The sequence below is a fragment of the Homo sapiens genome, chromosome 3 (genome assembly GCF_000001405.40).
Source record: "Homo sapiens chromosome 3, GRCh38.p14 Primary Assembly".
In the NCBI taxonomy this organism is placed as follows: domain Eukaryota; kingdom Metazoa; phylum Chordata; class Mammalia; order Primates; family Hominidae; genus Homo; species Homo sapiens.
In genome coordinates this window covers 177,422,607-177,450,580 of record NC_000003.12, presented here as the reverse complement: position 1 = coordinate 177,450,580, position 27,974 = coordinate 177,422,607, and the positions used below count along the sequence as shown (strand labels likewise).

The following is a 27,974-nucleotide window of genomic DNA, read 5'->3' as shown; positions in this document are numbered from 1 at the left end:
GGCCATGAGACTTTAAAAGATGGTACAGGCCAGGCGCAGTGGCTCACACCTGTAATCTCGGCACTTTGGGAGGCCAAGGCAGGAGGATCGCTTGAAACCAGGAGTTTGAGACCAAGCAACATAGCGAAACCCCATCTCTACAAAAAATACAAAAATTAGCCTGGCTTGGTGGCACATGTCTGTGGCCCCAGCTACATGGGAGGTTGAGACTGGACGATCATTTGAGCCCAGGAGGTCAGGGCTGCACTGAGCCATGATGGTGCCACTGCACTCCAACCTCAGTGACAGAGTGCAACCCTTACTTCAAAATAAATCAATAAATAGCCCAGGCTCTGCAGTCAAACTGGGTCTGAATACAAGTTCTGCCATTATTGGTCTAGGAAACTGAGGCTGGTTATTCTCTGTCTCTGGGCCTCCAATTTTATCTGTATATAAAAATGAGAATGATGCTAGCACTTCCTTCAAAGGGTTATTGTGAGAAGTAAATGAGACAGTGCATGAAAAATCCTTAGTGTCACACTTGGCCCATCATAACCACTCAATAGATGTTGACTGTTTTATTATTTATAATAAATTCATCTTTAGCTAATACCATTATGCAAGAAGATAAAAGGAAACCCTTCCATTTCCTGAACAGGGGTGAGACCTGACCTGCAATTTTGCTCATAGTTATGCAATTTCCCCACCCATCTCTTTTCTTTGCAGACACAGGGTTCATAGCCACAGCAGGTGACGGTGCAGGGCCCTGAGCTCTGATCTTGCGTAACAGAAATAGAGTCTGCTCTTGACCTGGTCACCCAGAACCACAGCATTGAGAAAGAAAACTTAGACATCCAGCTATGTCCAACTGCCACATTGAGTCAAAAGGAAACTGAGGCCTTGAGAAAGGAGATTTGCCTGAGGAAAGGGCTCAACCACAGTCTCCCAACCCATTTGCCTTTGTTCATTGCTTGGGTGCCACTGCAAGTCTGGCCCTGTTTACAGCACATTGCAGCTTTCTACAGGAATTCATCCCATTAACTTCACTTCTCAGCCCTGAAGCCTTCCTCGGTCTCCTTGCTCCTGTGCTTCTGTGGTGAGGTCACCTTTTCTGGAAATCCCTGTGATTTCTTTCCACAAGCCCTCAGCTATGCATGTGGCAATGAGGTCAGCTGAAACTAATGATGACGTGTTACGTAGAAATAAGTAAAATCTTAGATTGAGCTCAGACAAAACCACATTAAAATCTCAAATGTCATTTTCTTACACTTCAAAAATAAAATGTCAGGACCATAAGGCTCTTCTCTATTCTCTTCTCCTTTGTCTTTCAGTTGCTTTTTGTATCTGAGTGTATTTAATTGTGCATTTCTTTCCTCTGGCACTAGAAGGACCCAAATTTTTCTAATAGATCATTTCGCGGTAGTTACAATCTGACCTAAAACAGGAAATACTCAGTAGTTCACAGTAAGGAAATCTATTCTCAAGAAGAAACTCGTAACCTATCAAGGGGTTTTATTGAAGCATGAATAAGCATTTGAATTTCAGTTTATCTACAAATCTATCACTACTGTTAACCAAAACAAAACAAGTTTTCAGTAAAAATTGTCACCTGAAGTAATCTTTATAAAAGCTTGAAAAATGGACTGGCCTCAGCCCAGTTGACCAGCTTTACTCCATAGGTGTTTGTAGCTTTGCTTGTACACGTAGTGTGTTAAAGTAATACGCTTTAGGCTCTGTCCATTTTTGACAGAAGGACCCCAAACTATGTGAATATAAATTTTTTTAGTAGTTTAAAGAAAACTAGCTTCAGAAGTTCTCAATATCCTGCATCCACTAACTCAAATTATCTTAGTTGGGTGTTGCCAAGTAGAAAGAAATGAATAAAAATGATGCACAATTAACCCAGCTTTACTATAAAAATGCCTCAAAAACGGCACAGTTCTCTTGAATAGTTCTCTTGAAGAGGCTCACGGTACACTACAGCTCAATCTGAAGCGCATTTCCACAAGTATCAAATTAGTGTTCATTAAGGTAATAAGATGTTTACTGGGTTGACTTTTGTTCTTTTTATAACAGTGTTGGGTTTGTAGGAAAATCTTATTTCTCATACTCACTCTTAGGAAGACTCATTCCTTTTTTTCCTCTCCACGTGCCCCATATTTTTTATTATGCAGACTCATCTACCTATTACCATTCTCAACTCATAGCCAGGGGAAAGAAGCTCTGCCCTGCACATTATACATAAAATCAATACATATTTACCACACAACCACTGTGTACCCAATAGAATACAAGTTGCTATGAAAATGGAAAATACCTGTACTTGACTCTGGGACTTACCATCTACATATTTCCTTGTGACCCAGGTGAGTACAGCCCGAGTGATGAGCTCAGTGCAAAGCAGGGGAGGAGGCCTGCCTAAGAACAACAGTGGGCTCTTTGCCAGGCTTTTCTGCCTTTCCGGGAGCTGGAGCAGGTCAGGGCAGGTCCTCACTTTGAGGAGCCAGATTCCAAGTCTTTTACATGAGCACCTCCTGATAGTGGCTACCGTTCACTGCCCTCTTGCTTTGGGCCAAGCTGAGACATTCAATTTTTGCCACAATCTTATCATGTAGGTATTATGATTCCCATTTTACAGATGTGGAAACTGTAGCACAGATGGGTTACATTGTTAAAGGTTAAATAGCTTTAAAAAGTGGCAAACTCAGAATCTGAACTCAGGACTGACTCCAATACCAAACTTCTCAATCAGATTCTAGTCACCTGCTTTGCCGGTGTCCTTACTTGAACATCCAACCTCATCCAGGCCTGCAAAATCCTTCCCATCCATTAACAACAGACTTAATATAAAGAAACAGAAAGCAAAAGCTTTAAGCCAGAATGTAAACCTTAGTTATAGCCATCAACAACTTCTCTTTTACTATTATTATTGCACTAAGCTATACAACATGAAATGTTGTTGCCCAGAGTTGTACTAAAGATATATTGACTAAATATAAAACTAGCCCATTAACTTTTAAGAATTTTCTTCTCCAAATTCTGTACAGAATGTGCAAATTAATTAAGCCCTAGTGCTATAAACTTGAGAAAATCAGTCTTAACCAGCTGAGGAGCCACTATGTCATCTGGTAGTCAGAAATGACCAAATAATTAAGCATATTTCTGATATAAAAAAAGCACAGAAACATTTTATTATAAAATAACAGTACTTTTATCCAAATGACCGAATAAAGGTTGCTGCCTGATTCTCAATATTTTTAAACTGTGTATTAGGTCTGGAATTGATATTAGGTTTCCCAAGTCCGTCAGTTCCTCCACTACTGACTTAGCTGGTGATCTAATGTCAGGGAAAACACTTGTTTGTCTGATTTTTAAATGGATTATTCCTAGAAGATAATAATAATAGCAATAATGCTATTGCTATTATTTGGTCACAAAGAGGATGATTTTGTTGTCCAACAAACCTAGGTTTATACGTGAGCTGTATGATGTAGTAGCAAATGTTTTAACTTCTCCAAACCTCACCTGTAAAATGGGGGTAATAAGGACTCTTCAGAGAGTCTTTGCAAAACCCATTTAGGGTAGTGCACATGGTACATCATCCAGCCCACAGTGAAGGCTATTCAATAAAGGGTAGCTAATATTATACAGTGTTTATGGAAAAGAGAAAAAACGGTAGTAGGGGTTTTAAAGTTCGGGTTCCTTAGAAGGACAATGATTGACTTGGGATTCTCATCTTTGATTTTTTTTTCAGAGGCACTCGCATTCAGTATTTCATCCATCATAACCCCATGCCCGTGTTGTAGGCCATTCACACATATGGTTCCGGCTCTGGTACGCCAATGGGGATGGATGGCTCAATAGGAATTGCCGTGTTTTTATGTTTTAAGTGCTATTTATCCCTGAGGCTTTCAGCATGTCGCTCTATTTCAAAAACAAGTGGTTCACGTGTCTTGAAAACGATGTGCTGAGGATCACTGTCAGAGATTCCGTTTATTCACAAAAAGGTCATTAACTTGGAGAGAACCTTATTTTTACTCCAGGCTGGTGTGAATAAAGTCTGGCTGCTTAATGGTGCTTACTGCCAAGCTGTCCTGAGGTCAGCGATCCTTTCACAGTTCATTCATGAGACTGACGGACATTATTGTGATATGTTGCATAAGAAAACCCTCTCAGTTCCCTAAATACATTATATTAATGTAGTGCCATAGGACATGGAAACCGAAACACTGAGGAAAAAAAATGTTTTGTTATTCCTTCAGGAAAGACTTGTGAGTTGGCTTTTTGGTCTCTCGATTGCTATTATCAAGGCCCCTTCCTGCTTTACAGTCCAGAGTCTGCCCAAGCTAATTGCTGCACTGAATAACAACTCACTGAGGAACTCGCCAGCCTGGGCAATAAGGAGTCGTGGCTTCTCTACCCTGGGCTGTGCCACTGCTCATTGTGTGACCTATACAAGCTACCTAAGCACTCTCAGACTCTATTTTCCTATCCAAAAAACAACAACAATGTCATCTTTAAGATACTATACCCCAGCTCTACAGCCCTATAATTCTCCTTCTATCCTTTTCATAAATACCTCTTTGTTATGTATTTTGTTTCTCTAGTGATGACTAGTATAGAATAAATAATTGCTACCTAGAAGATGTAATTAAGTTTATATATTATTTTCTACAACTAATATGCAATGGATTTTAATTTTATTCATAATTACTAACTTCAGGCTTAAAAAAATCTGTGTACTAAGTGGGAATATTGCACCATTTTTATAGCCTCTTCTTCTCATGTCAATAAAATAACATAATAAAACCCCACCCACACAGATGATAAGCCTCCCTCTATCACCAGGAAGCATAATTAGCAAATTAAAGCATTGGACTCACATTTATACTTATAATCCCAAGGTTTTGTTTTATTCAAGTAAAGCCTGTGGCCTAAATCACTGTGATTATAATATGGTACTAAGTAAATAAAAGTCTGTCTGCCTTTCACAATTATGTTTTAATTTCCCATTTTACATTTTCCAACATGCAAACTAGGTTTTGTTTACATTTTGATCTGATTTACTAAAGAACTTTCTCCCATAGAATCTTCTGAAAATAGAAGTGCAAGCATACATATAACACATGGATTTTTGCCCCCTATAAACATTAGCTTGTGTCTAGTCTTTGCTGGTAGCACACACATAGAAATACCAGTGTAGCCAGGCACAGTGGTTCACGCCCATAATCCCATCACTTTGGGAGGCTGAGGTAGGCGGGTCACGAGGTCAGGAGATGGAGACCATCCTGGCCAACATGGTGAAACCCCGTCTCTACCAAAAATACAAAAATTAGCTGGGTGTGGTGGCAGGTGCCGGTAATCCCAGCTACTCAGGAGGCTGAGGCAGGAGAATCACTTGAACCCGGGAGGCAGAGGTTGCAGTGAGCCGAGATCACGCCACTGCACTCCAGCCTGGCGACAGAGCGAGACTCCATCTAAATAAAAAAAAGAAAGAAAGAAATACCAGTGTTTTCAATTGGGAGAATTTTTAAACTTTGTCTACTATCTTCAGAAAACATTCTTTGAAAGAAAGGTTATTGTGTTTAGTCTGGTTTCTATACATGTCTCTGGAACAGCAGGATATAAGAACCCATTTTGGCAGCAGATCTCCAGAAAACACTGGCAATTCTGCAATGAGGGGAGGTACAACTTCCTAATGAAAGTGTTTCCTCAAATCTAAAGGTCATCTGAACACTTTCATACATACACAATACAATGTATGTATTGCGGTTGAATAGACACAACAAAGGAGGCAGACTGAAGTTCAAATCCTACCTCTGCCACTTACTAGTTGTGTGACATTCAGCAAATCACTTATCTAATCTTTCCAAGTCTCCATTTTTTTTTCTTTTTTTTTTGAGACAGAGTCTTGCTGTGTCTCCCAGGCTAGAGTGCAATGGCACGATCTCAACTCACTGCAACCTCCGCCTCCCAGGTTCAAGTGATTCTCCTGTTTCAGCCTCCTGAGTAGCTGGGACTACAGGTGTGTGCCACCACGCCTGGCTAATTTTTGTATTTTTGGTAGAGATGGGGCTTCACCATGTTAGTCAGGCTGGTCTCAAACTCCTGACCTCAGGTGATCCGCCTGCCTCGGCCTCCCAAAGTGCTGGGATTACAGGTGTGAGCCACCGGGCCCTGCCACAAGTCTCCATTTCTTCATTTGTAATATGAGTGAAATATTGCCTACTTCATAAGATTCATACAAAAATTAAATAAGATAATGTACATAACATGTTGGTACATAATAATCACTAAGAAATGATGTTAAACCTGTAATCCCAGCACTTTGGGAGGCCAAGGCAGGCGGATCATGAGGTCAGGAGATCGAGACCATCCTGGCTAACACGGTGAAACCCCATCTCTACTAAAAATACAAAAAAAAATTAGCAGGGTGTGGTGGTGGGTGCCTGTAGTCCCAGCTACTCGGGAGGCTGAGGCAGGAGAATGGCGTGAACCCAGGAGGCGGAGCTTGCAGTGAGCCGAGATTGTGCCACTGCACTCCAGCTTGGGTGACAGAGTGAGACTCCGTCTCAAAAAAAGAAAGAAAGAACGAAAGAAGGAAAGAAAGGAAGGAAGGAAGGAAGGAAGGAAGGAAGGAAGGAAGGAAAGAAAGAAAGAAAAAGAAAGAAAGAAATGATGGCAGTTATTTCTATTATTATTTTAGTATAATTATCACTGAATCAGAAAGAATGTGACCCTGGGGGTGTGTGCACACCATGATTTTGGCCATGACCTTCAGTCAGCAACATTAGTTTCTCTCAGAGGAGGTTCTACTGTGCCCCGGATAAGGGAATTGGAGCTCAGTGACACGTAGAAAACTGACAGCATTGAAGATCTCTAAAGGATACTCAAAACATTCTTGCCAGCCCTGCCTGAGGCTGCATTACTGCCTACCAGGTTTGTTTCTGCTCTCAGGCACTTATTACATTTCTCTGTTTTCATGCCAGCCTTCCTAGCTTACTTTGTGTTCCTTCTGCATTAGTCATCATAACGCCCCAGTTCAGTGACAGATAAGGTGGATAAGTCCCATTTGGTCCCTGCCCCTACAATTGGAAGAAGACAGGAATTAGGAGATGGACTGAAGCAGAGGTTAAGTGTTAAACACAGCAAGCCCACCCCACAGACACACAATTAGGTGACTCTAAAACCAACTTAATTGGTTAGTGACCAGTAGTAGTTTTCATGAAATAGAATAGAAAATATCAATATAAACCCCATACAGTAAGCAGTTTATTTCATTAAAAACTTTTATTGGCCAGGTGCGGAGGCTCATGCCTATAATCCCAGCACTTTGGGATGCTGAGGCGGGTGGATCACGAGGTCAGGAGATCGAGACCATCCTGGCTAACACAGTGAAACCCTGTCTCCACTAAAAATACAAAAACAAAATTAGCTGGGTGTGGTGGTGGGCGCCTGTAGTCCCAGCTACACGGGAGGCTGAGGCAGGAGAATGGCCTGAATCCGGGAGGCGGAGCTTGCAGTGAGCCAAGATCTCACCACGGCACTACAGCCTGGGTGAAAGAGTGAGACTCCATCTCAAAAAGAAAAAAACTTTTCAGTTGTGTGTGTCTGTATGAATATTTGTTTGTGTTGGTGGGTGGATGTGTGTGCATTTTGCAATATAAAATATATTTCTTTTGTTCTCATGTGGACTCGAAGGTCTCTAAGGTCTCTTTTAACTAGAAAAATTTAATAAATCTCCAAACTCTGTAGAACTGGGATTCAAAATGGCAGTAGTTGCCAATGTTCTGGTTTTATGGGGTTGGTCCATATTTTTTTTCCCAATAGAAAATAAATTAGGATTTTCCTTCATCAGTAAATAAAAATGTTAAAAGAATAAAACTAGAATCTACACTCAATCACCCAGGAAGATGAGAGGTCTGCTGGGACTGAGATTACAGAGAGAAATGAACACAGAGATCAGAGCTTGAAGCCAGCTGTGGAGCCCAGGGCCAGTGGCCCGCTTCTGCACACAGCATCCATCCATGGGAACTGAGTCAACTCATAAGGATCTAAAGAGAGCGGGGACATTGCCGGGGAGGAGGAGATGGGGGTTCCTCTCCCAGCATACACACACGCATGGCTCCCACACTCACATAAATGCACATCGAGAAGCCAGAAGATGTTGCAAGATGTGTCTGTGCGTCTCTCAAGCTTCTACAGGCTAATGAAAGCATGTTAGAGACAGAGAACAGGCCTGAGTTTCAAGCCTTCTGAAGTCTGTTTTTCACTCTGTCTCTCTTTGGCACAGAATAAGTCATTTCATTCTCCCCTCTATCCAGACAGTGAGTTAATTTACACTGACAACTATAACCAAGTTGATGAACACACCAAACATTGGTCAGTGCAGATTCTCCCTATTTGAAAACTGAAATAGGAAACTTTTATAGTTAGAAAGTGCTTTGCAAACATAAACTCAGAAAAAGAGGAACTAATCGGAGGATCTTACCTTTCGGTTCTCTAAGCGGTCACAGCCTAATGCTGCCAAATGGCTCCAGATGCTCATGTTGAGGTCCAGGCTCTCTCTCCATCTTCAGTCTCCTCCACTCACCAGGCTCCTATTAACACATTTTCTGCTCTTCAGATAGTGAAATGTGGACAGCTAGGTTTAAGCCACCAGATTCCATCGTGCTACACCGAGACCACAGCCAATCCACTTTGGCCTTCCTCACAAGTCTCCAAATCATGACCATATATGTATAAAACGCCCAGTCTCTTCCTTTGCTGCTAAAGATTGTTAGTCTCCATCATTAAGGAACTTTCTATCTCAGCCTCCAGAGGGGTACCATCACACATAGTTCTGAGGATACCTCACCATGTATGAACACAAAGCCAAGAAGGGGATCTCATCTTCTTTTTATCCTAATTGGTCTTGTGCCATAGGTTGGTACTAAGGCAACTATTTGCTTTTAGTTTAGTTGTTATTCTAGGTTATTTTCCATATAAATAATATATTAATCATTTGAACATGTGCCCTAGGAGAGTTTTGCAACTGGAACAATTCTTGAATCAAAGAAATAAATACTATAAACAAAGCATAGTTTTTCAAGTAGCTTTCCAAGGCTTGTTGCAATTAATCACAGGCTTAAGAATGCTACTCCATTATCATTCTATCAAATGCAAGCCACATGGGCTTTGTGGCCATCATCTCAAATAAATACATCTCACTCTCCTTTGTAAGTCTTCAGTATAGACAAAGGCCTCTGCTTCAGGAATTTTGATTAGCAATATGTTAATCATAATTTCCAAATAAAAAGTCTAGACACCGTTTCAAGATTAAATTTGGTCTGGTCTGATTTTGTGAATTCTTATAAAATGTCTTATCCAATCAAATTTTAGCAATCATTCTGCATTTTGATGTTAAAATAAAATTAAATTAAAATTTTAACGAAAATAATTCTGACCCTCTGAAACAATTTCAAACTTATTTTAAATTCCCCAAGTGCATTCAGTAGCAAGTAGAAATAGTCACCGTTTAGCCACCCCATTACAGTCCATCACCTCAGCATTGCCCCTAATGTGGCAAGATTTTAAAAGTATAATATTCTTCACCTTTACAGCTAAAACAACAGCACATTCACACACATCATTGTATCGAATGTGGGCTAGCATGCACACATGTGTCCCCATTAATGTATCAATTCTTCAGCCTGTGACTCATTTTTTGGTGACACATGTTTTTATTGTATTATTGACCTGAGTCATTCAGTTACTATATATCAAATACTGGACTTCTCTGTTAATTCACTGATTTGTGGAAACAATGGATCAGAATATTTGAAGCTGAGGCTGTCTCAGAAAAAGAGACATATGGTCCACGAAAGAAGCAGGCATGCCTCTGCAGGAGTGAAGGCACAACAGAAGGCATGCCCCGGGCACCAGGTCCCGAGCATCAGGGAAGGCCCAGCGCAGCTGTCAATTAAAGGAGGGAGATTCCAGTGATCCTCGCCACCATCATTACATTTGTTGAGTTCTTCTGCATGCAAGTATCATGCCAAGTATTTTCTGTGCACAATCTCATTCAACGCTCATACAAGCCCTTTGACACAGAAGCATTTACTAACCCTGTAACAGAGATGAGGAAATGGGCTAGGAGAGGCCACTTAGAACTGTTAGAATCTTGACCCAAACCCAAGTCCGTCTGACTCCAGAGACAGTGCTCTGGGTTTTCAACCTGTTCCCAGACAAAACATAATCCCCACTAGACCTTCAGGAAGCTTTGTACCTTCTGAGTGGTGTTCCAGCCGATACCCCGGCATCAGTCTTTACAACACTTTCACCTGTCCCAGAATGAAGCATGTCTTGTGGGTATGAAAACTAGGAAAATATCTGCAAGGGGATGGGCAATCCAGAGGCATCTCTTCATTTTTCTCCCGTAAATAATTCTCATAACTAATGCAATTTAGCCTCCCAGACTCCTCATACTTTCCCTCCAACGTATTCTTTTCTGATTATTTATTATTATCATAATTAACATTTTTAGACATGTCACTGTGCAAAATATGGAGGAAGACAGACTCCCCCACCCTTTTGGCTTATGATCCAAATATTTAGATTATAAACACAATGTTTTTGGCAGGTTAACTCTGTATTAAGAAATAGAGCATTTGCAGGAAATGTCAGATGCTTATTTTACGATCAGTGTAAGGAGTAATTTACCCCACACAAAGATTTGGACTTGGCAAGCAAGCCCCTGTCCACCTACCCACATGTGATGAAGGCAGGAACAGTTTTTCTTCCTCACAACAATTGTCAGGCAATGGACATTTTTAACCCTCAGTAAAAAGCAGTAGCAAGGAGGAGCAGGGTTGGTGGAGCAGGGTTGGAGCAGGGCTGGCCATCATGGCAGTTGGGCAGAGACTAGAAGTAGATAGAAGTCTTTGCTTGCCACTGCTTAGAGTAATGGATAGATCGAGGCCAGTTCTTTTGTGCTCAATGACTTTTAAGAAACACAAGAAAAGTGACATAATTAGTCAACTTATTCCTCTTTCAAAATGTGCATAATAAGGCTGGCAGTACAGCAAAGAGATCAACAGTTCACTCCAGCACACTTGCTTCAAAACTTTCTGCCCATGTGGCATTTCTCCTTCAGAGGCATGGTCTAAAGGCCTAGACATTTAATGTTTCCCACTTAAGAAATTGTGCCAATTTCATGTGACATGATATGGAAGATTGTAAGATAGAAGAAAACACTGAACACCTGACAAATTTTTTAGCTAATAGTACTCACCCAGCAGAAATATGGATCTCGTGAAGGTAAAGCAAGTACATCTCTGGGGTGACACTGCATAACAATCAGAAATTTCCACTGGCAGGAGACTATGCACTTTCACAAGCCAGAAAGCTGGAAGGTTTTATTAATTATCTCCAAGCAGGCATGAGTGTGAAGCTGAAATGAACTGTGGAGCAAAGGAGAATTTTCATCCAATTCCTTCATTCTATAGTTAAGTGGGAGAGCATGTGTACTGTTCACAGTCATGCGGTTGGCAAGTAGCAGAGTTGGGACATGAATGCAAACTGTTGTGGTCATTTCATCCAGAGTTCTTACTAAAATGCCATGCTGTTCATGCTTTTTTAACCCATAACACAAAAATATGCAGGAAATGAACATGCAACTCTGGGGCAATTCCCAGATTCGGAGTCATCTGAGCATCCTCCCGACATCGGTGGGTTCAGAGATGAAAACCGCCAAATCCCAAGATGTCTCAACAGAAGGCCTGGCAGGGCTTACATTCTGCCTGCAGGTAAAGCATCCTGGCCGGGATCCAATTCGATTGGTCATTTTGTATCTTACTAGCAGTTAAATATTTTTAGTATCTCCCCTGATTTTTGGGAGAACCTGAAGGTACCAGAGCATCCTGAATTTATACACAGCATCCACTCCAATTGTATGTGTAGGAATCAACATTCCTAGCTTGTTAAGGGCAAATTATTCAGGAAATATGGAGAAAATGTTAACATTACTCTGAAGAAAGAAACAGAGCCACCCCCTTATAGCTGCCTTAATTTTTTTTTTTTTTTGCCATAGCTATACATTCTCGTCACCCAAGCACACGAAATCTGGCAAAGGTAGCCCTTTTAATGTTTGCTTTATGATCTCAAGTAACTATCAAAACCACTATTGGAAACCATTAAAAGGGCATGTTCTTTCCATCCCGTACAGCACGCCATTCTGGCACCTTGTTTACTGCACTAACTGGAGGTATAAAAGAACAGACCACTGGCTTATTCCACACCTGATATAGAATTCCATTATTGTAGACCAGTTATTCAATTGAAAAAAAATCATCTAATCTGCCAGCCTATTGATGAAATCATGAACTCCTGCTGCTCTGTAATAAATATTGCATGTGTCAATTGGATTATAAGAGAGCCTGGAACTTTGCCCCTTGGCATCTGGCATAGCCCATCAGACTTAAGTTTCCCTATCTCACTTTGCTGTAGCAAAACTGTAGTGTTGAAACCTAAGGGCTGAAAGTTTTTAATTAGCCTTTAAGAATACACCCACAATACTGGCAAATGCCTCTCGTAGCAGGGGCCTTTAGAGATGATGTCACATTTTGCGTGGTGAAAAATTGGTCTCTGCTGTGACAGTTAGATAATTTTTTTAATGGATATTACATAAGTTTAGCAATTTATGACTTTTATCATGTCTTAAGCTTTGAACACAAAGATCGCTTTTTCTTATTGCTTGGGGTTTCATTGCTATTTTTTAATAACATGTTATTAGTGATTTTTAGTTGATGAATAAATGTAATGTCTTCTTGGTATAATGTGTGAGTGAGCTGGAAATGACCTGTCCCTTCTGATCAGCCACCATGTGGCCTTGGAAGAGGTTGGATGACCCTGCTCAAGGCGGAAACATGTAACTTCCCTAAAAGATAGCCTAGGTTTTTATACCAGAGCATTCTCTGATACTAAAGTTATAAATGTTTCTCACTCATTTCAATCAGCAAATTCTATTTCGAAACTTACTCCATTTGTGAGTTTGCCTGCTAAAAGATATAATGACACTTCAGATTCTTAATCTGTCTTCTATTTAAATCAGTAGCATTGTATCTTTTTTTCCATATAACTATCAAAGCAATCCTTAAGAGACTGTTCCAGGAAAAGACTATCTAAAATTCATTTTAGAAAGGCTAAATGTTGGATCTCAATGCTCCCTGTATGATTTGGGAATTTGGGGCATCATTGCTAACTGTCTGAGCAGAACACTGCACAACTTATGTGGGTTATTTTCTAGCTGAATATTGGCCTAACTTCACCAAGCAATTCAGTTCTACAGACCCGATTCAGACCCAAAGAGTAACCTAAATAGATTCCCTAAGTAAGAAAAAAGAAGAAAAAGAAAGCAAGAAAACCTGGTCAGTTTAACATCTCTTAAAGGAAATGTTAATGTTCTCTAGTAAAAGAAGATCTATAATGTGTTAAAGAAAATTTTTAAAAAGTTGAGTGATGTCAATGCAAAGCAATGGGGGTGTGGCATATTGGCAGGAGAGCTCAATTAAGAGTCCAGTGGTCTGGTCTCAGCCCTTCCATTAACTAGCTCCGGATGCTGGGCAATTACTTCCCTTTCTGAGGCTCAATTTTCTCATCTGTAAAATGATGGAGCTGGCCTTGGATCCCTAAGGTCCTATTCAGTGCCAACACATTTGAGGCTGTGAGTCTATAAAAGATTTGAGATGGCTAAAATAGGAGGAGGAGGCAGATGGTATATTGGGCTCAAGAGCTGTGACCAGGAAGAGCTCTGACTACTTCTTAAGAGTGATATGAACCAAGAAGTAGAAAAAGAAATGCAACTTTGTATTTATAATGGAAGATACATGGTACTATACTTTTGTCAAATCCATAGAATAAATACCAAAGGTGAACCCTAATGTAAACTATAAACTTTGATTAATAATGTGTTATCTATTTTCTTTTTCTTTTACTTTTTCTTTTTTTTTTGAGTTGGAGTCTCATCCTATTGCCCAGGCTGGAGTGCAGTGGTGCGATCTCAGCTCACTGCAACCTCCACCTCCCAGGCTCAAGCAACTCTCCTGCTTCAGCCTCTTGAGTAGCTAGGATGCCACCATGCCCAGCTAATATTAGTATTTTTAGTTGAGACGGGATTTTGCTATGTTAGACATGCTGGTCTCGAACTCCTGAAGATATTTTCTTTTCTTTTCTTTTCTTTTTTTTTTTTTTTTTTTTTGAGACAGAGTCTCGCTCTGTCGCCCAGGCTGGAGTGCAGTGGTGCCATCCTGGCTCACTGCAACCTTACAACCTCCGCCCCCAGGTTCAAGCGATTCTCCTGCGTCAGCCTCCCAAGTAGCTGGGATTACAGGAACGCACTACCACGCCCAGCTAATTTTTGTATTTTTAGTAGAGACAGAGTTTCCCCATGTTGGCCAAGTGTTGGCCAAGCTGGTCTGGAACTCCTGACCTCAAGTGATCCACCTATGTTGGCCTCCCAAAGTGTTGGGATTACAGGCATGAGCCACTGCACCTGGCCACTATTCCTTTTATACAACATATCAATAAGATTCTGGGGAGGGGGCAGGAAAGTTATGATAAAGGTATGATACGAGATGTTATCTTAAAGATATTAAAGATGCATTAATATATTAATAAAAATAATAACAAAAGAGTAAAACTAATAATAAGACTAAATTAAGCTTCCAACCTTAGATAGCTTCTTGTTGAGATTCACTCAACAAATTTGATTTCTGGAAGTCTAGGGACCCAGGTAAGTGCAAGAAAAGGTGTTTCTTTTAGTCATCATTTAAGCAATCAGTAAGCAGTAGGCTCTCAGCCCTTCAGAGTCATGAGCAAGACAAACATAAAGCCTCCTCTCATGAAGCTTACAGTTCAGTCTAGTGGGCAATAAGGACATTTTATAGTTTGCATTTATGGAAGTATTCTATGTGCCGGGCTCTGTGTGAATTTTTCTGGAGTATTTTTTATTTAGTTCTTGCTACAACTCTACAGGTATATACTTTCATTACTTTATTTTATATGTAGGGAAAGTGAGACACAGAAAACTGAAACAAATTACCCAACATCACAAAGCAAATAAGAGACACAGCCAAGACTCAAATGTGTGCCATATGATCCCGGAGCCTCTTGGCTGCTTCTTTGACACTAATAAGTCTTTAATAATAATTAGTAAAAATTAAAATAATAAGCACATGGCCAGGTGCAGTGGCTCACGTCTGTGATCCCAGCACTTTGGGAGGCAGAGGCAGGTGGATCACCTGAGGTCAGGAGTTCCAGATCAGCCTGGCCAACATGACGAAACCCAGTCTTTACTAAAAATACAAAAAATTAGCCGGGCTTGATGGGGGGCGCCTGTAGTCCCCACTACTCAGGAGGCTAAGCCAGGAGAATGGCGTGAACCCGGGAGGCGGAGATTGCAGTGAGCCGAGATCGCATGACTGCACTATAGCCTAGGTGACAGAGCGAGACTGTGTCTCAGGTAATAATAATAATAATAATAATAATAATAAGCACGGCAGAGGGAAGTCACCTGGCCCAGAGAGTAAGGGAAGGCCTCCTTGAGGAAGGGACCGGAAGAGGAGCAGAAGTTAAGCTGGCACAAAAGGGTGAAAAGCCCGAGGTGAGAAAGCTGCTCTAGGTTATTAGCAAATAATTACATTTTAATTTATTCACAAAAGCCATTGTACTGTTACCACACACATATGCCTAAAACAGCATTAAGTAAAGGTCCTCATATCCATTATCACGTACATATGCAAAAAATAGCTTTAAGTGCACAGTTTTTAAAAATTATTTTAGAAATTGCAATGGAGTACAAAATTATCTTTTTATGTAAATCCAAGATTAGACGATTATTTCTATCTAGGCTGTGCTACAAAGATATTCTCCCAGAATCATTTCTGGATGGCAGTTCCAGAAACCTGGAGATTCTGGTAATTAGACCTTTGCTTCCAAATGACAGGAGTTGGGGAGCCAGGGAGATGGAGTTTTTGAGGTGCCCAGTTCAGTATAGCGAGAATCCGAGTCCTCCTACAAGTGAACAACAAGAAACCACCACCTGCCTCTAATCTCCTCCTCAACCACTAGCTGGGTGCTCGCTAAGGGAGGGCAGGTAGGATTCTCAGTCCTGGGTTAAGGAGGAGTCCTAGAAATCAGGATGGAGACATTCTTGGTCACAGTGGAGCAAAGGAAGCAGGTGAGGTGGTTGGCCTGGGCCACTGCTCACGAGGGGAGCAGCCTGCCGCTGGCTATGACTGATGGGAAGCATGGATGTGCCTGGGCACACGTGGCTGTGCTGAGCCTGAATCAGATAAGCCTGGGTGTTTTTCTGTGTGAAAGGACAAAAATGGTACTCGACTTGTGTCAGGGCTAATATTTAAAACTACATCTAGAACCAGTTCAAACACACATTTTACAATTCTGAGTGCAGGACTGTTTTTATGCATTGAGCTCTTTCTTCCAGAAACTATCCTCCTATTCCTCAAAGAGAGGGAAAAGGTCATGTCCATAATTCTAGCCTTAGGTTTCTTTTTTTTTTTTTGAGACAGAGTCTCACTCTATCACCAGGCTGAAGTGCAGTGGCACCATCTCTGTTCACTATAACTTCCACCTTCTGGGTTCAAGTGATTCTCCTGCCTCAGCCTCCCGAGCAGCTGGGATTACAGGTGTGCACCACCACACCCAGCTAATTTTTGTATTTTTAGTAGAGACGGGATTTCACCATGTTGGCCAGGATGGTCTTGATCTCTTGACCTCATGATCTGCCCGCCTCAGCCTCCCAAAGTGCTGAGATTACAGGCGTGAGCCACCGCGCTCAGTCTAGGTTTCTTTTTTAAAAGTTTAAATGACTGTCTTAGCCCAAGCATTCCTAGAACACTTTGGAAGTTATTCGTAAGTCGTGACTTCCATTTGCAAGGATGAGTCTAGCAGGGACACATATAGCCTCAAGTAACAACACTACAATACCCAAGGACTCTACCCACACTTTCCACTGACCTACCCTAGAGAAATAATTTGAGGTTGGAATACCTACCTGGGGGTGGAAGGGACAGGATCTTCTATCTATTGAAGCCTGCTTTGAAACATATACTATTGAACCCTCACATCCGCCCCATCTCTCAGAGCCCCCATTTTACAAAAAAATAACACCATGGCTCAGCGGGCCTCCATCTTGACATGATTCCCTGTTGCTAAGTAATTTTAATACGTGTGCATTAAAGCAGGCTGAGAGCATCAAGGAATTTCACCAGCTCTTTCATGTGCTCAGCACAAATTGGTAGATGCTTCTAACGAAGTTAACGGGAGCAATGCAGATGCCTATACGGGAGCCCACCCTCCCTGGGGCAGCACAGGCTGCTGACTATATTGTGAAATATTTGAGTATACCAAGGCCTCTGGGAGACCCCATAAGTCCAACTTTCAAGGTACAGATGTTCCTCTACTTACTATGGGGTTCCATCCTGATAAACCCATCCTAAGTCGAAAATATTGTGAAGTTGAACCATTGTGAGCCTGGGACTGTCTGTAGTAACATTTGTGTCTCCTTCACCACTGAGCAATCAGACTTGAAATTAGGAGGAGTGGCCAGGTGTGGTGGCTCAGGCCTGTAATCCCTGCACTTTGGGAGGCCGAAGCAGGTGGATTGCCTGAACTCAGGAGTTCAAGACCAGCCTGGGCAACATGGTGAAACCCAGTCTCTACTAAAATACAAAAATTAGCCAGGCATGATAGTGCATGCCCATAGTCCCAGCTACCCGGGAGGCTGAGGCATGAGAATTGCTTGAACCTGGGAGGCGAAAGTTGCAGTGAGCAAAGATTGTACCACTGCACTCCAGTCTGGGCAACAGAGCAAGACTCTGTCTCACAAAAAAAAAAAAAAAAAAAAAGACATTAGGAGGAGTGAAAGGTGGTGGTGCCTAGATGTGACAGGATAGCCAAGGAAGTTAGTGAAGAGGCATCGGGGGCACATGGCAAGGGTGAAGAGGATAGATCCAGATGGGACTGAGATTACCCTTCGGCAATGAGGCAAGTTGGGGAGAAGGTTGATGGAGTAAAGATGGGAAAACATCTGTGAATGCAGGGCTCTGCCTCTCCCAAAGGAAACTGCAGAGCAGATGATAATTGACCTGTTAATTAATAATGAGAAAATTTACTTATTTGTTTCACTTCCCAAAGATAAATAAATCAATAAATGGCCCAACAAACCCTAAGGAGCTGAACTTGGCCTCATGTTCCCCTTTGTCCCTAGATCCAGCCTTTTATATCCTTTTTCACCAACTTTAGTATTTCAGTTATTAAAATCTAACACAAATAAACCTAGCTCATGAAAACTAAAAGTTTAAGCAGCAATGAATCTTAATTTGGACTACTTTTTTAAGGGTATTTATATGCGACATTTGCCTTATTACAACGTTTTATTTCTTTCCAGTGAAGAAAGCAGCTTTTTTTTTCCTTTAAGAAGAAATTCACACTCATTCCGAAGGCTGTGCCTATTTCTTATCTCCTTGAGCCTGAGTGCAGTGCAAACAATAGAAATCAGCCTGAGAACACGTGACTCCCTCTTCAATGGGGTCATAAATATGTTACAAGTAAATGCTGAAATAATGACTTTCTTTGGACGTCTTTTTTAATTAGAGCTGAAAGAGTTTAGAAAAAATAGTAACCACCTGGCAAGCCAGCTCCTCTTTGAAAGCTGAATTAAAATCAAATGAGAGAAATAATTAGGACAGCTGGAAATAATAAAAACAATAGATACCAGGCATGTCTTTGACAAAACACAACAAACCAGAGAGACATTACAATGCAAAATCTTAATTGTGTCATGGCTCACTAAGTCTCTCTCTTCCCCCCCGCCGCTTCAGTCCTTGATCACAATGGAGGGGGTGGTGGGGAACCACTGTATTACAAGATGTAAAGCCAAAAAGCAGTAACACTCTTATAACCTGAATGAGCATGACAATAAACAGAGGTAGTTGTTGCTGTGCGTAAATAGATACAATGCCACAATTTGACTGAATTATTGTTTCTCCTTTTTTGTTTCTTGTATAGGGTGCTAATTCTTACTTCTTGCAAACTGTGGATTAATACCTATCTTTGGATGTATGTGTCAAGTCTTAAATTTGGCTTTTCAAATATGAGGTTTATCTGGATTCTGTTGTCCATATTCAGAATTACTCCTGAGTAATTGCTGGCCTGAAAAAAAAAAAAAAAAAAAAAAAAACACACAAAAAAACGCACCCGAGATGAATTATGCCACTCCTCCAGAATGCAGATGCTTCTTTAGTCACTGCTGTTCTAAATAACATCTTTTTTTTTTTCTATTTTACAGGGTAGGAAAAGGCTATATGCCAAAGTGCTAACAGTGGTTTGCTTTGGGAAATGGGGTTACTGGTGATTTTTCATTGTGCTTATGGTTTTTTTCTGCATTTACTAAATTCCTCATCATTTAAAGCCAAACATAGTTTCATGTAAATTCTTCAATCCTATAAATGCATTTAAGAGGGGGGAAATGGCCCAGAAACATATGAATGACATTTAGCAATGGGAATGGAACACAGAGGAACGACGTTCACCGACTTTGCAACTACATTAAAGTGCAAATCGCTTGCCCTGTAACTCAACTGGAAGGTAGGCAAAGGTCCCAGAGTAAATCAGGACCCTTACTGACAGCATGGAGTGGAGCAGATAGCTCAGTGTGGATCTGGAAATCAGGTTATCTAGGTATTCAGTGAATGACATCCTACATGGTGGTGTGAAAGCCACTTAATCTCCTCAGTCTCCTTGCCATCAGACTATCTTCCTTTCCACAGGCAAAGCTTCCGTTTAAAGTTAATGGAAACTGAGAGAATTGGGACACTCTGCCTTTACTTTTTCTCTCTGTCAAACAAAGATAAAGGTTTTATTCAAACTTTTTTATCTGAAGAGGAGCACCACCTGAATGAAATGTGGTCATGATCAGAAATCTTAAGAATTAGGAAATTTCCAGACACTCACATAAATGATACAGTGCCCTGAAGAATGAGGGGGGAAATGATTCTGTACAAAAACACAGCTATATAAGCACTCTTCCTTGAAATAAAAAGGGTTTCCACATATATGCATTTATATAAGTAGTGTTAACCGAAGATTAAAAAGTAAAAGAAATTTTAAATTAAAGATTTCACTTCATCAAAATGATTCCGGTTTTTACATCTCAGGACATTGGCAAATGCAATTTCTTTACATTTGAATGGTTATGGATAGTTCAACTTTTTTTCTGGAGGTTTAGTTTGGATCTGACCCCTGTTTTTAAAAGTCTTGCTCCAGCATGTTTAATAATTGGGTTTAATCTCCCCATATCCATCCAATTTGAAAGGCATAAGAAGAAAGATTACTAATTTTTTGCCCAATCCTGCAATTAACTAACAAAAATTAATTAGTATTCTTAAATAAGTTATTAAATATCTATGAACCACATAGTGGTACTCAACACATATTTGTCTAATGAATGAATGATCAAATACGGCTCAGTTTTTTTCATCTTGTCACTAGATGACTTACTCTAACCTTCTATGACCTATGTGTCCCTCCTTATAAACTACAGCAACAGTTCCCACACACAAGTCAGCCTACAAGCATCAGCCCGTGATGAAATTTTTAACAGTTTGCATGGAGTGAGAGGAAGTAAATAAGGACAATATAGTTGATTTGTCATAAGGCTAAATCTATTTAATTTAGAGAACTATTCTGTAGTCTGTATGTCCTTTGCATTTCTTTGGAAATACTTTTTTTGTTGTTTTATGAAATGATAAAAAAAGATAGTAATTGTGAAGGGCTTAAGATATTTTACTTGGCAAAATATAAAATCCACAACCTATGTCAGTCCCTGATTTTTTCTAATTCTATTACTCCAAGAGCTCTCAAGGTCTGGGAACTACTGACTTAGAGAATGTGCATTACTTTAGGTACAAGAAAAAAGGAGATTTCTCTTTTCCCCACCCCCAGATTTGTATCCCCTAGAATTGAGACAGACTGTCTATTGTCTATTAGCTCCTCTGCATTGAGCTTCAAACTTTTCCATCCCCCACCCTTGTCCTCCTAAATGCAAAGAGGTAGCCAGATAACCACTTTCATTCTACATACTCACCATGTATTATTGGGTGAAATAATTTCCCAAATGCAATTTTATTGACTGTCTCTCTTGCAGTTCCTTCTAGAAAACTGCCATGTAACCAGTTTTAGGATGGACATATAAGCAAAAGCCAGCCAATTTGCTTTCTAAACACTGACCAGTAAGATCCTCTTTCTTCAAATCTGAGCAAACAGGACATAAAGATAGGCTGTAGTGGGTACTGAGCCCAAAGGCTATGATGCAAAGCTGGGGCCTATAGTGTCCTGCAAGACGGGCAAGCAGGGAGAGTAGGTCAAGAAAGGCACCAGAGAGAACTTAAAGAAACAAACTCCACAGAGACAGTGAAAATAGCCTCATTTCTGATTTCTAGTTCCCAGTTCCAGTTGGATTCTTTGAGTTTACTTAACCCCATCCTCCACCAACTGCCTTTCTGAACTTGAGCTAGTGGATTTCTATTCCTTGTCATTTAAAAAAAAAATGTCCTTTGGGAGGCCCAGGCAGGCAGATCACAAGGTCAGGAGATCGAGACCATCCTGGCTAACACGGTGAAACCTCATCTCTACTAAAAATACAAAACATTAGCCAGGCGTCGTGGGAGGCGCCTGTAGTCCCAGCTACTCAGGAGGCTGAGGCAGGAGAATGGCATGAACCCGGGAGGCAGAGTTTGCAGTGAGCGAGATCACACCACTGCACTCCAGCCTGGGCGACAAAAAAAAAATTGTCTCAGCCAGGCATGGTGGCCCATGCCTGTAATCCCAGTACTTTGGGAGGCCGAGGCAGGCAGATCACCTGACGTCAGGAGTTCAAGACCAGCCTGGCCAACATAGTGAAACCCCGTCTCTACTAAAAATACAAAAATTAGCTGGGCGTGGTGGGCAGGCGCCTGTAGTCCCAGCTACTCAAGAGGCTGAGGCAGGAGAATCGCTTGAACCCAGGAGGCAAAGGTTGCAGTGAGCCGAGATCGCACCACTGCACTCCAGCCTGAGCGACAGAGTGAGACTCCGTAAAAAAAAAAATTGTCTCAAATTGAAAACATGGACTAACATTCGTGTATTTGAAGAAAAAGAGATTTAACACTGTTTTTTATCTAAGATTGTTTTTACTAGACAATTTCTCTTATTTCTGCAATACCAAAAATATGCAACCATCAATCAGATTTCTTTCTTATATTCCCTTTAAACATTGTGAAAAAATGTTTTTCAGGCATAAGGAAAAGCCCAGCTCTCAGCCCGTCTCTTCATCCTGCCCCTGCCCATCCCCACCGTCACCATAGTGTAGGTTTGATCTTGTGTCCATCCCCAGCCCAGCCCCCTGCACAGATTGCATAATCTGCTTGCTAAGGCATAGCTCAGAACTTCAGAGTCCCAAAGAGAGCACATCAGTGACCCCACTGGGTAGAAGCCCCTGTCATTGTCATTTTCCCATTGAGATACAATCCAGAGAAGTGAAGGGATGATTTAATATCCCACAGGGAACAAGCAAGGGAAATCGCATTTTATTTAACCTTCAACCAGCCTAAAAGGTAAAATATTATCCTAAAAGGTAAAATGTACAAACACACTCAACCTCACAAGGCTTGCCTATGCTTTACCAAAGATCACACATCCAGTAAGGGCTGAGGCCTGACTTTGAGTGAAACTTATTAAACTCTAAAGTCTATACTCATTTAATAATACATCCTTCTGCCTCCAAGTTTTTCGTGGTCAAACCACATTTAAACCCAGATCACATGACTCCTGATGACTAAACAAGGGTTCTCTCCAGTCATTATTCTGGTGTTCTCCAGGAACAGCTCAAAGAAAAAGGTGTGGAGATGTAGCATTGGGTAGAAGATGAAAAGGAAGGCAGCTGAGAGCCACCTTGTTACTTCAGCCCTCTCTCCTCTTTTTCTTTAACATTTCATCAAACAAGGGCATGATTTATAAGCCATCTCCAGGTTGTGGCCCTGAGTCACTGTCCCTACCCAGTCCAACCCTGGGGGAGGCAGTCTCTAAGATACCCACCAATGACCCCCACCTGCAGGATTCATACCCTCGTGTTATACGCTCCCTCGCTGTACCAGGGTTGGTCTGGATAACCAACCCCATATAACAGCACTTCTGACAGTGGGTTAGTAAAAGTGTGCAACTTCCGACTTGGGTATTCTTTCTTTCTGTTTCTGTCTTGAATCACTCACTCTGGGGAAAGCCAGCTGTCATATCATGAAGACGCTTAGGCCACTTCAGAGAGGCACACACGGTGAGTGAGGAACTAAAGTCTCCAGCCAACAGCAAGCAAGGAACTAAAACCTGTCAGCAACCATGTGAGTGAGTTAGAAAACGATCATTCCCCAGCTGAGTGTTCATGTGAGACTGCAGCCCTGTCAAACAGCTTCACTGCAACCTCATGGAGACCTTAAGCCAGAACAACCCAGCTAAAATACTCCCAGGCCCCTGAGCCACAGAAAAAGATATCTGTGGCCTTAAGCTGCTAAGTTTGGATGTATTTTGTTACATAAAAATGGACAACAAATTCAAGTCCTGGGAAGTTCCTCCAAATACTAAACATTTCTCCTGCCTAGGCTTTCTCAGGTTATTCCTGTTGAAGTAAGTAGAGTTATTTTCCTTTGTCTCCATAAACAAATCATTGGTGTTAATCCACTGACTCCCCTCCCTGACTGGGGAATAAGCTCTGTAGCTGCTTCACAAATATTTCATTTGAAATATGCATATGGTTCTAGATGATAAAATCTTCAGAAAGCCACTACTGTCTGCTTCCTTTGCTTTGTCATTTTTATAGTCCCTTTAGTTTTCTGAATCTTTCCCTCACAATAAGTCGGTCAATAGAAACCACAGAATTTTAAGGAAGAGTTTGACTCCGCTCCTGGGCAGAATATTTAAATCATAGGTTGTTGTTTGTTTTCAGGTCAACCAGTACAATTATGCAACATAAATTCTTTTAAAGCATCTGGGACTTCAGTTCAATTTAAGATCCTGTGGGTTTTATTACCAGAATGAATGATTATAAAATACATGCATGCAAATGAAGAGATAAAAAAATTAAAGGGCATATGAAATTTAATGGATGCTACTTGTAATTCCATGCCAAATTGTTGCAAAAGACAGTGGCTAGGCCACCATGTGAAAATGTGGTTTATGGTATTTATAACTTGAGAATGCGATTTTAATAGTCTATTGCCATGGATATATATTATAAAACAGAGTAGAGAATTAAGTTTCTGGTATTAACATGTGGGGGAGGGGGAAGTTTTTACCTAAGTCTGTCATTGGTTTTATTGCCAAAATAGCTTGTTTTGACTAAGGTGATTCACTCCAACAGCACACCACAGTAAAAACTTTGTGAAAAATGGAGATTCTTTATTTTTGAGTGTTTTTATTCTAAGAGCTCATTTGGGACTAATCTAATTCAGTCAATATTTATTAACTGCCAAAAATGTGAAAGCTAATACATTCGAGGATCTGGGGGCTGGGAGTGGAGGGAGTTAAAATTGAAGCTAACAATCTCTACTCTTGAGAGAATCCCAATCTAGGGAAAGCGGTGGGCAGATGTGTGTGTAAAGAATCTGAACGTGGGTTGAGTAAATTATTGGAGGAGTCAAATAACAGGCTCCCACCTCTGGATTGCTCTCCTCTAATCCAGCATCCACACGGCTGCCGAGTTTTACCCAAAAGAAAGAATCCAAGTGTGTTGTCTTTCTCCATAAAGTTCTCCATTGCTTATAAAATACAGTCCAGACTCCTTAGCACCAGCTCTTCAACATTTGGCCTAAAACTACTTTTTCCTATTCAGATAACACTCTAAAGATGAATGCTTAAAGAAAAAGTTTGTTGGGAGGCCGAGGCGGATGGATCACCTGAGGTTGGGAGTTGGAGACCAGCCTGACCAACATGGAGAAACCCTGTCTCTACTAAAAATACAAAATTAGACAGGCGTGGTGGTGCATGCCTGTAATCCCAGCTACTCGGGAGGCTGAGGCAGGAGAACTGCTTGAACCCGGGAGGTGGAGGTTGCGGTGAGCCAAGATCGTGCCATTGCACTCCAGCCTGGGCAACAAGACCGAAACTCTGTCTCAAAAAAAAAAAGAAAGAAAAAACTTGACTCAACTTGAAAAGACTAAGGATTCCAGTACAGTTCTTCAAATAATATATGAACGTCCACTGTTCCTACAGGACTCATCTCTTTCTAATTTTTGCTTCCAACCAGGACAAACCCCTAAAGAAGAAGGAAGTCATGAGGCAACCAAGAAGTTGCTGGGACATTTTCTTGCAGGGACTGGTACAAAGGAAGGAAATAAAAGGGTGTGTTATTATGAAAGAAATTAACTAATATTAGCATCTCCTTTTCCTAACCCTTCCCATTACAGTCCCAGACCCCCAAAGAGGAGAGTGTCGTGCTTCTAAATATCTCAGGTCTTTGTATACTTCACCCAGAAAGAGAAATTTCTCTGGAATCGCCCGTGAATAGAGAAGGGTTGGTGAGATTTGGAGATAGAGAAAACTGTCTTATTCATTAGGCTGAAACAGAGAGATCAAGCATAGTGGAGACAAAAGTTGAGGAGCTTTAGGATGGGAAGGCTTTTGTTTGGATTTGAGTTTTCTTAGTGGATGGAAAGATCCCCCATGATAATAGACACAGCTTCCTCTTCCATGCTTCACTCCCAATACCACAGGATTCCTGTAGAAGGGGACACTGACAGCACAACAGGTGGTGAGGTCCACAGCAGTCAACAGGAAGCAAATGTCTGCCTGAACTCCCAGTGTCACCAGGCAACCAGCCTCAACACCAGCACCAAGTAGAAAGTGCAGAGTAATGACAGGAGGCAGCACCATGGCCTGGAAACGGGCATCTCCATTGTGCCCTGTGAGTACCAAACAAACCCGATTTCTTATATAATCCCCAAAAAAACGACTAATCAGAGATTGAGCTTTCTACCAGTCACATTCATGTGGGCTCAGAGCAAGTTATATTTGATTTAGAGAGACAAAGGAATGCACCCTCGATCATATTCTAAAACCTTTACTAAACATAGTTCAGAAGCTGTTTCCAGATAAGAATGCTCAACCCACTGGGTTTCTAGACTCCTAGAGACCCTTTCACATGCTAAAGCCCATATGCATGGGTCTATAGAGAGCATTCCATTATAGTTTATGGAAAAAAAATTATCCCCATTCCTTCTTCCTTATTTCTCTTTTAAAGGCACTCTACAGGGGTTTGCAGACTCCAGACCACAGGCTAAATCCGGCCTGCTGACTGTTTTTGTACAGCCTGTGAGCTAAGAGTGGTTTTCACATTTTAAATGGCTGAAAGATCATAAGAATATTTTGTGACACGTGAAAATTGCATGAAATTCAAATGTCCAGTGTCCCTAAATAAGGTTCTATTGGCACACCCATGACTATTTGTTCATGTGTTATCTATCCTTGCTTTCACTACAACGGCAGAGTCAAGTAGTTGTGACAGAGACCATCCAGCCCTTTACAGAAAGAGTTTGCTGTATCCGTGCAAAGAAAGAGATGATTTCCAAGACTTAAGAAGGAGGGTCGCGTTCTGTATTAGTAAACCCAGTGTCCAACTGAGAGGCAGGAAGCAGATTGTAGGCCTAGTCTAGAGCCTTCTCCTTCACCCTGTGCCAAGTGGGGAGGGAGCAACAGTCCCCAGATTTTCCTTACTGAAGAGCTTCTGTCTTCCAGGTAAAGACCTAGAAATGAGTAGACAACAGAACAGAAGGGGAAAGATATGCAAGGAAACCAGAGAGGGACTTGCCCATCCCCAAACCTGCAGCCCTACCCTCTTCACAGTAACAACAAACCAAGGACCCCAGCCTCAGAGGGGAGGAGGCCAGCCAGCCAGACTGGCAAGGGAGGCCACAGCTGCCAGCCCCTTAAAGCCCGCCTCTCTCCTCACCACGGAGGTGTGGAGATGAAGAAGGAGGACAGTTTCAGAAGGACAAAATGACATCTTAACTGAAAAACAGAAGAGGATGGCAGCGGGGAGGGCAGCCTCCTCCCCAGGCTTCAGAGAGTGCTTTTCAGAACCTAAATAAGATGGGAGAGAAGAGTTCTAATGGAACATGCCCTCCGAGCTGAGCAAACTGGAGCCTGCCACTGTTCCTCCTTAACTCCATTTCACTGAGACGGCAGCTACTGTAAACATCTGGGGCAGGGGGAGAAGGAAAATGATTTGGCAATTAAAATGTACACCTCAAGAAACTGTTTCAAAACATGTTTTAAGCCTGGCCTTATAACTGAAAATATTAGAAATTGATGTGAATTCACACTAATGTCACCTTCCATGCGCCTCTCCTGGCCATCTTTTGTTTTAAATTGAATTAGGCGAGCTGCTGAGTCAGAACAACACCTAAATACTTTTTCTACCCCTTTCCTTCTACCAACATTTATTAAGCACTTATTATTTGCACGGCGCTGTGCCAAGTATAAGCAGGGAAAAAACAAAATGAATAATCCCAGCCCCAGAGAGTTGCAGTTCCCTAGGAGAGATATAAAGTATGATTTAAAATCACAAATATTTAATACTGCATAGAAACGATATGTGCATGTGTGCATCTGAGGTGTAACGCTGTAGAGATATTGGAGTTGTGAAAAGGGAAACGCTGAGCCTGGAAAACTCAAACATGAGCCTTCCCCTCAGCTATCAGTATGCTCTGGTAGAAGGTTTCAGAGCCAGTTGCCTAAGTCAAGGCTTTTCAAAGCCTGGCGGAGGAGCACCCCCATCAGAATAACCTGGGATGTTTGCTAACCGTCAACAAATCAGTCCTTCCAAATCTGAATCTCCAAGACAGGACCCACGGTTCTGCCCAATTCACAAACTCCACAGGTGGCTCCTAAGACACTTTCAAGTTTGAGAC

The 27,974-nt window shown here is 41.4% G+C and overlaps 1 long non-coding RNA gene across 1 annotated transcript in view, besides 1 other annotated feature; it reads right to left on the bottom strand.

Annotated features, from left to right (window-relative positions):
* LINC00578 (long intergenic non-protein coding RNA 578) overlaps positions 1-8,660 on the bottom strand; it is a 310,784-nt gene extending 302,124 nt beyond the window's left edge. The window contains exon 1 of the long non-coding RNA NR_047568.1: positions 8,471-8,660. This is a non-coding gene — a long non-coding RNA (long intergenic non-protein coding RNA 578). The remainder of the gene's footprint in view (positions 1-8,470) is intronic.
* Positions 8,633-8,762: an enhancer, noted in NCBI's record as "active region_20847". NCBI's record gives its function as "activates an Ori minimal core promoter by ATAC-STARR-seq in GM12878 lymphoblastoid cells {active_cell/tissue: GM12878}" and the evidence as "EXISTENCE:reporter gene assay evidence [ECO:0000049][PMID:35858748]".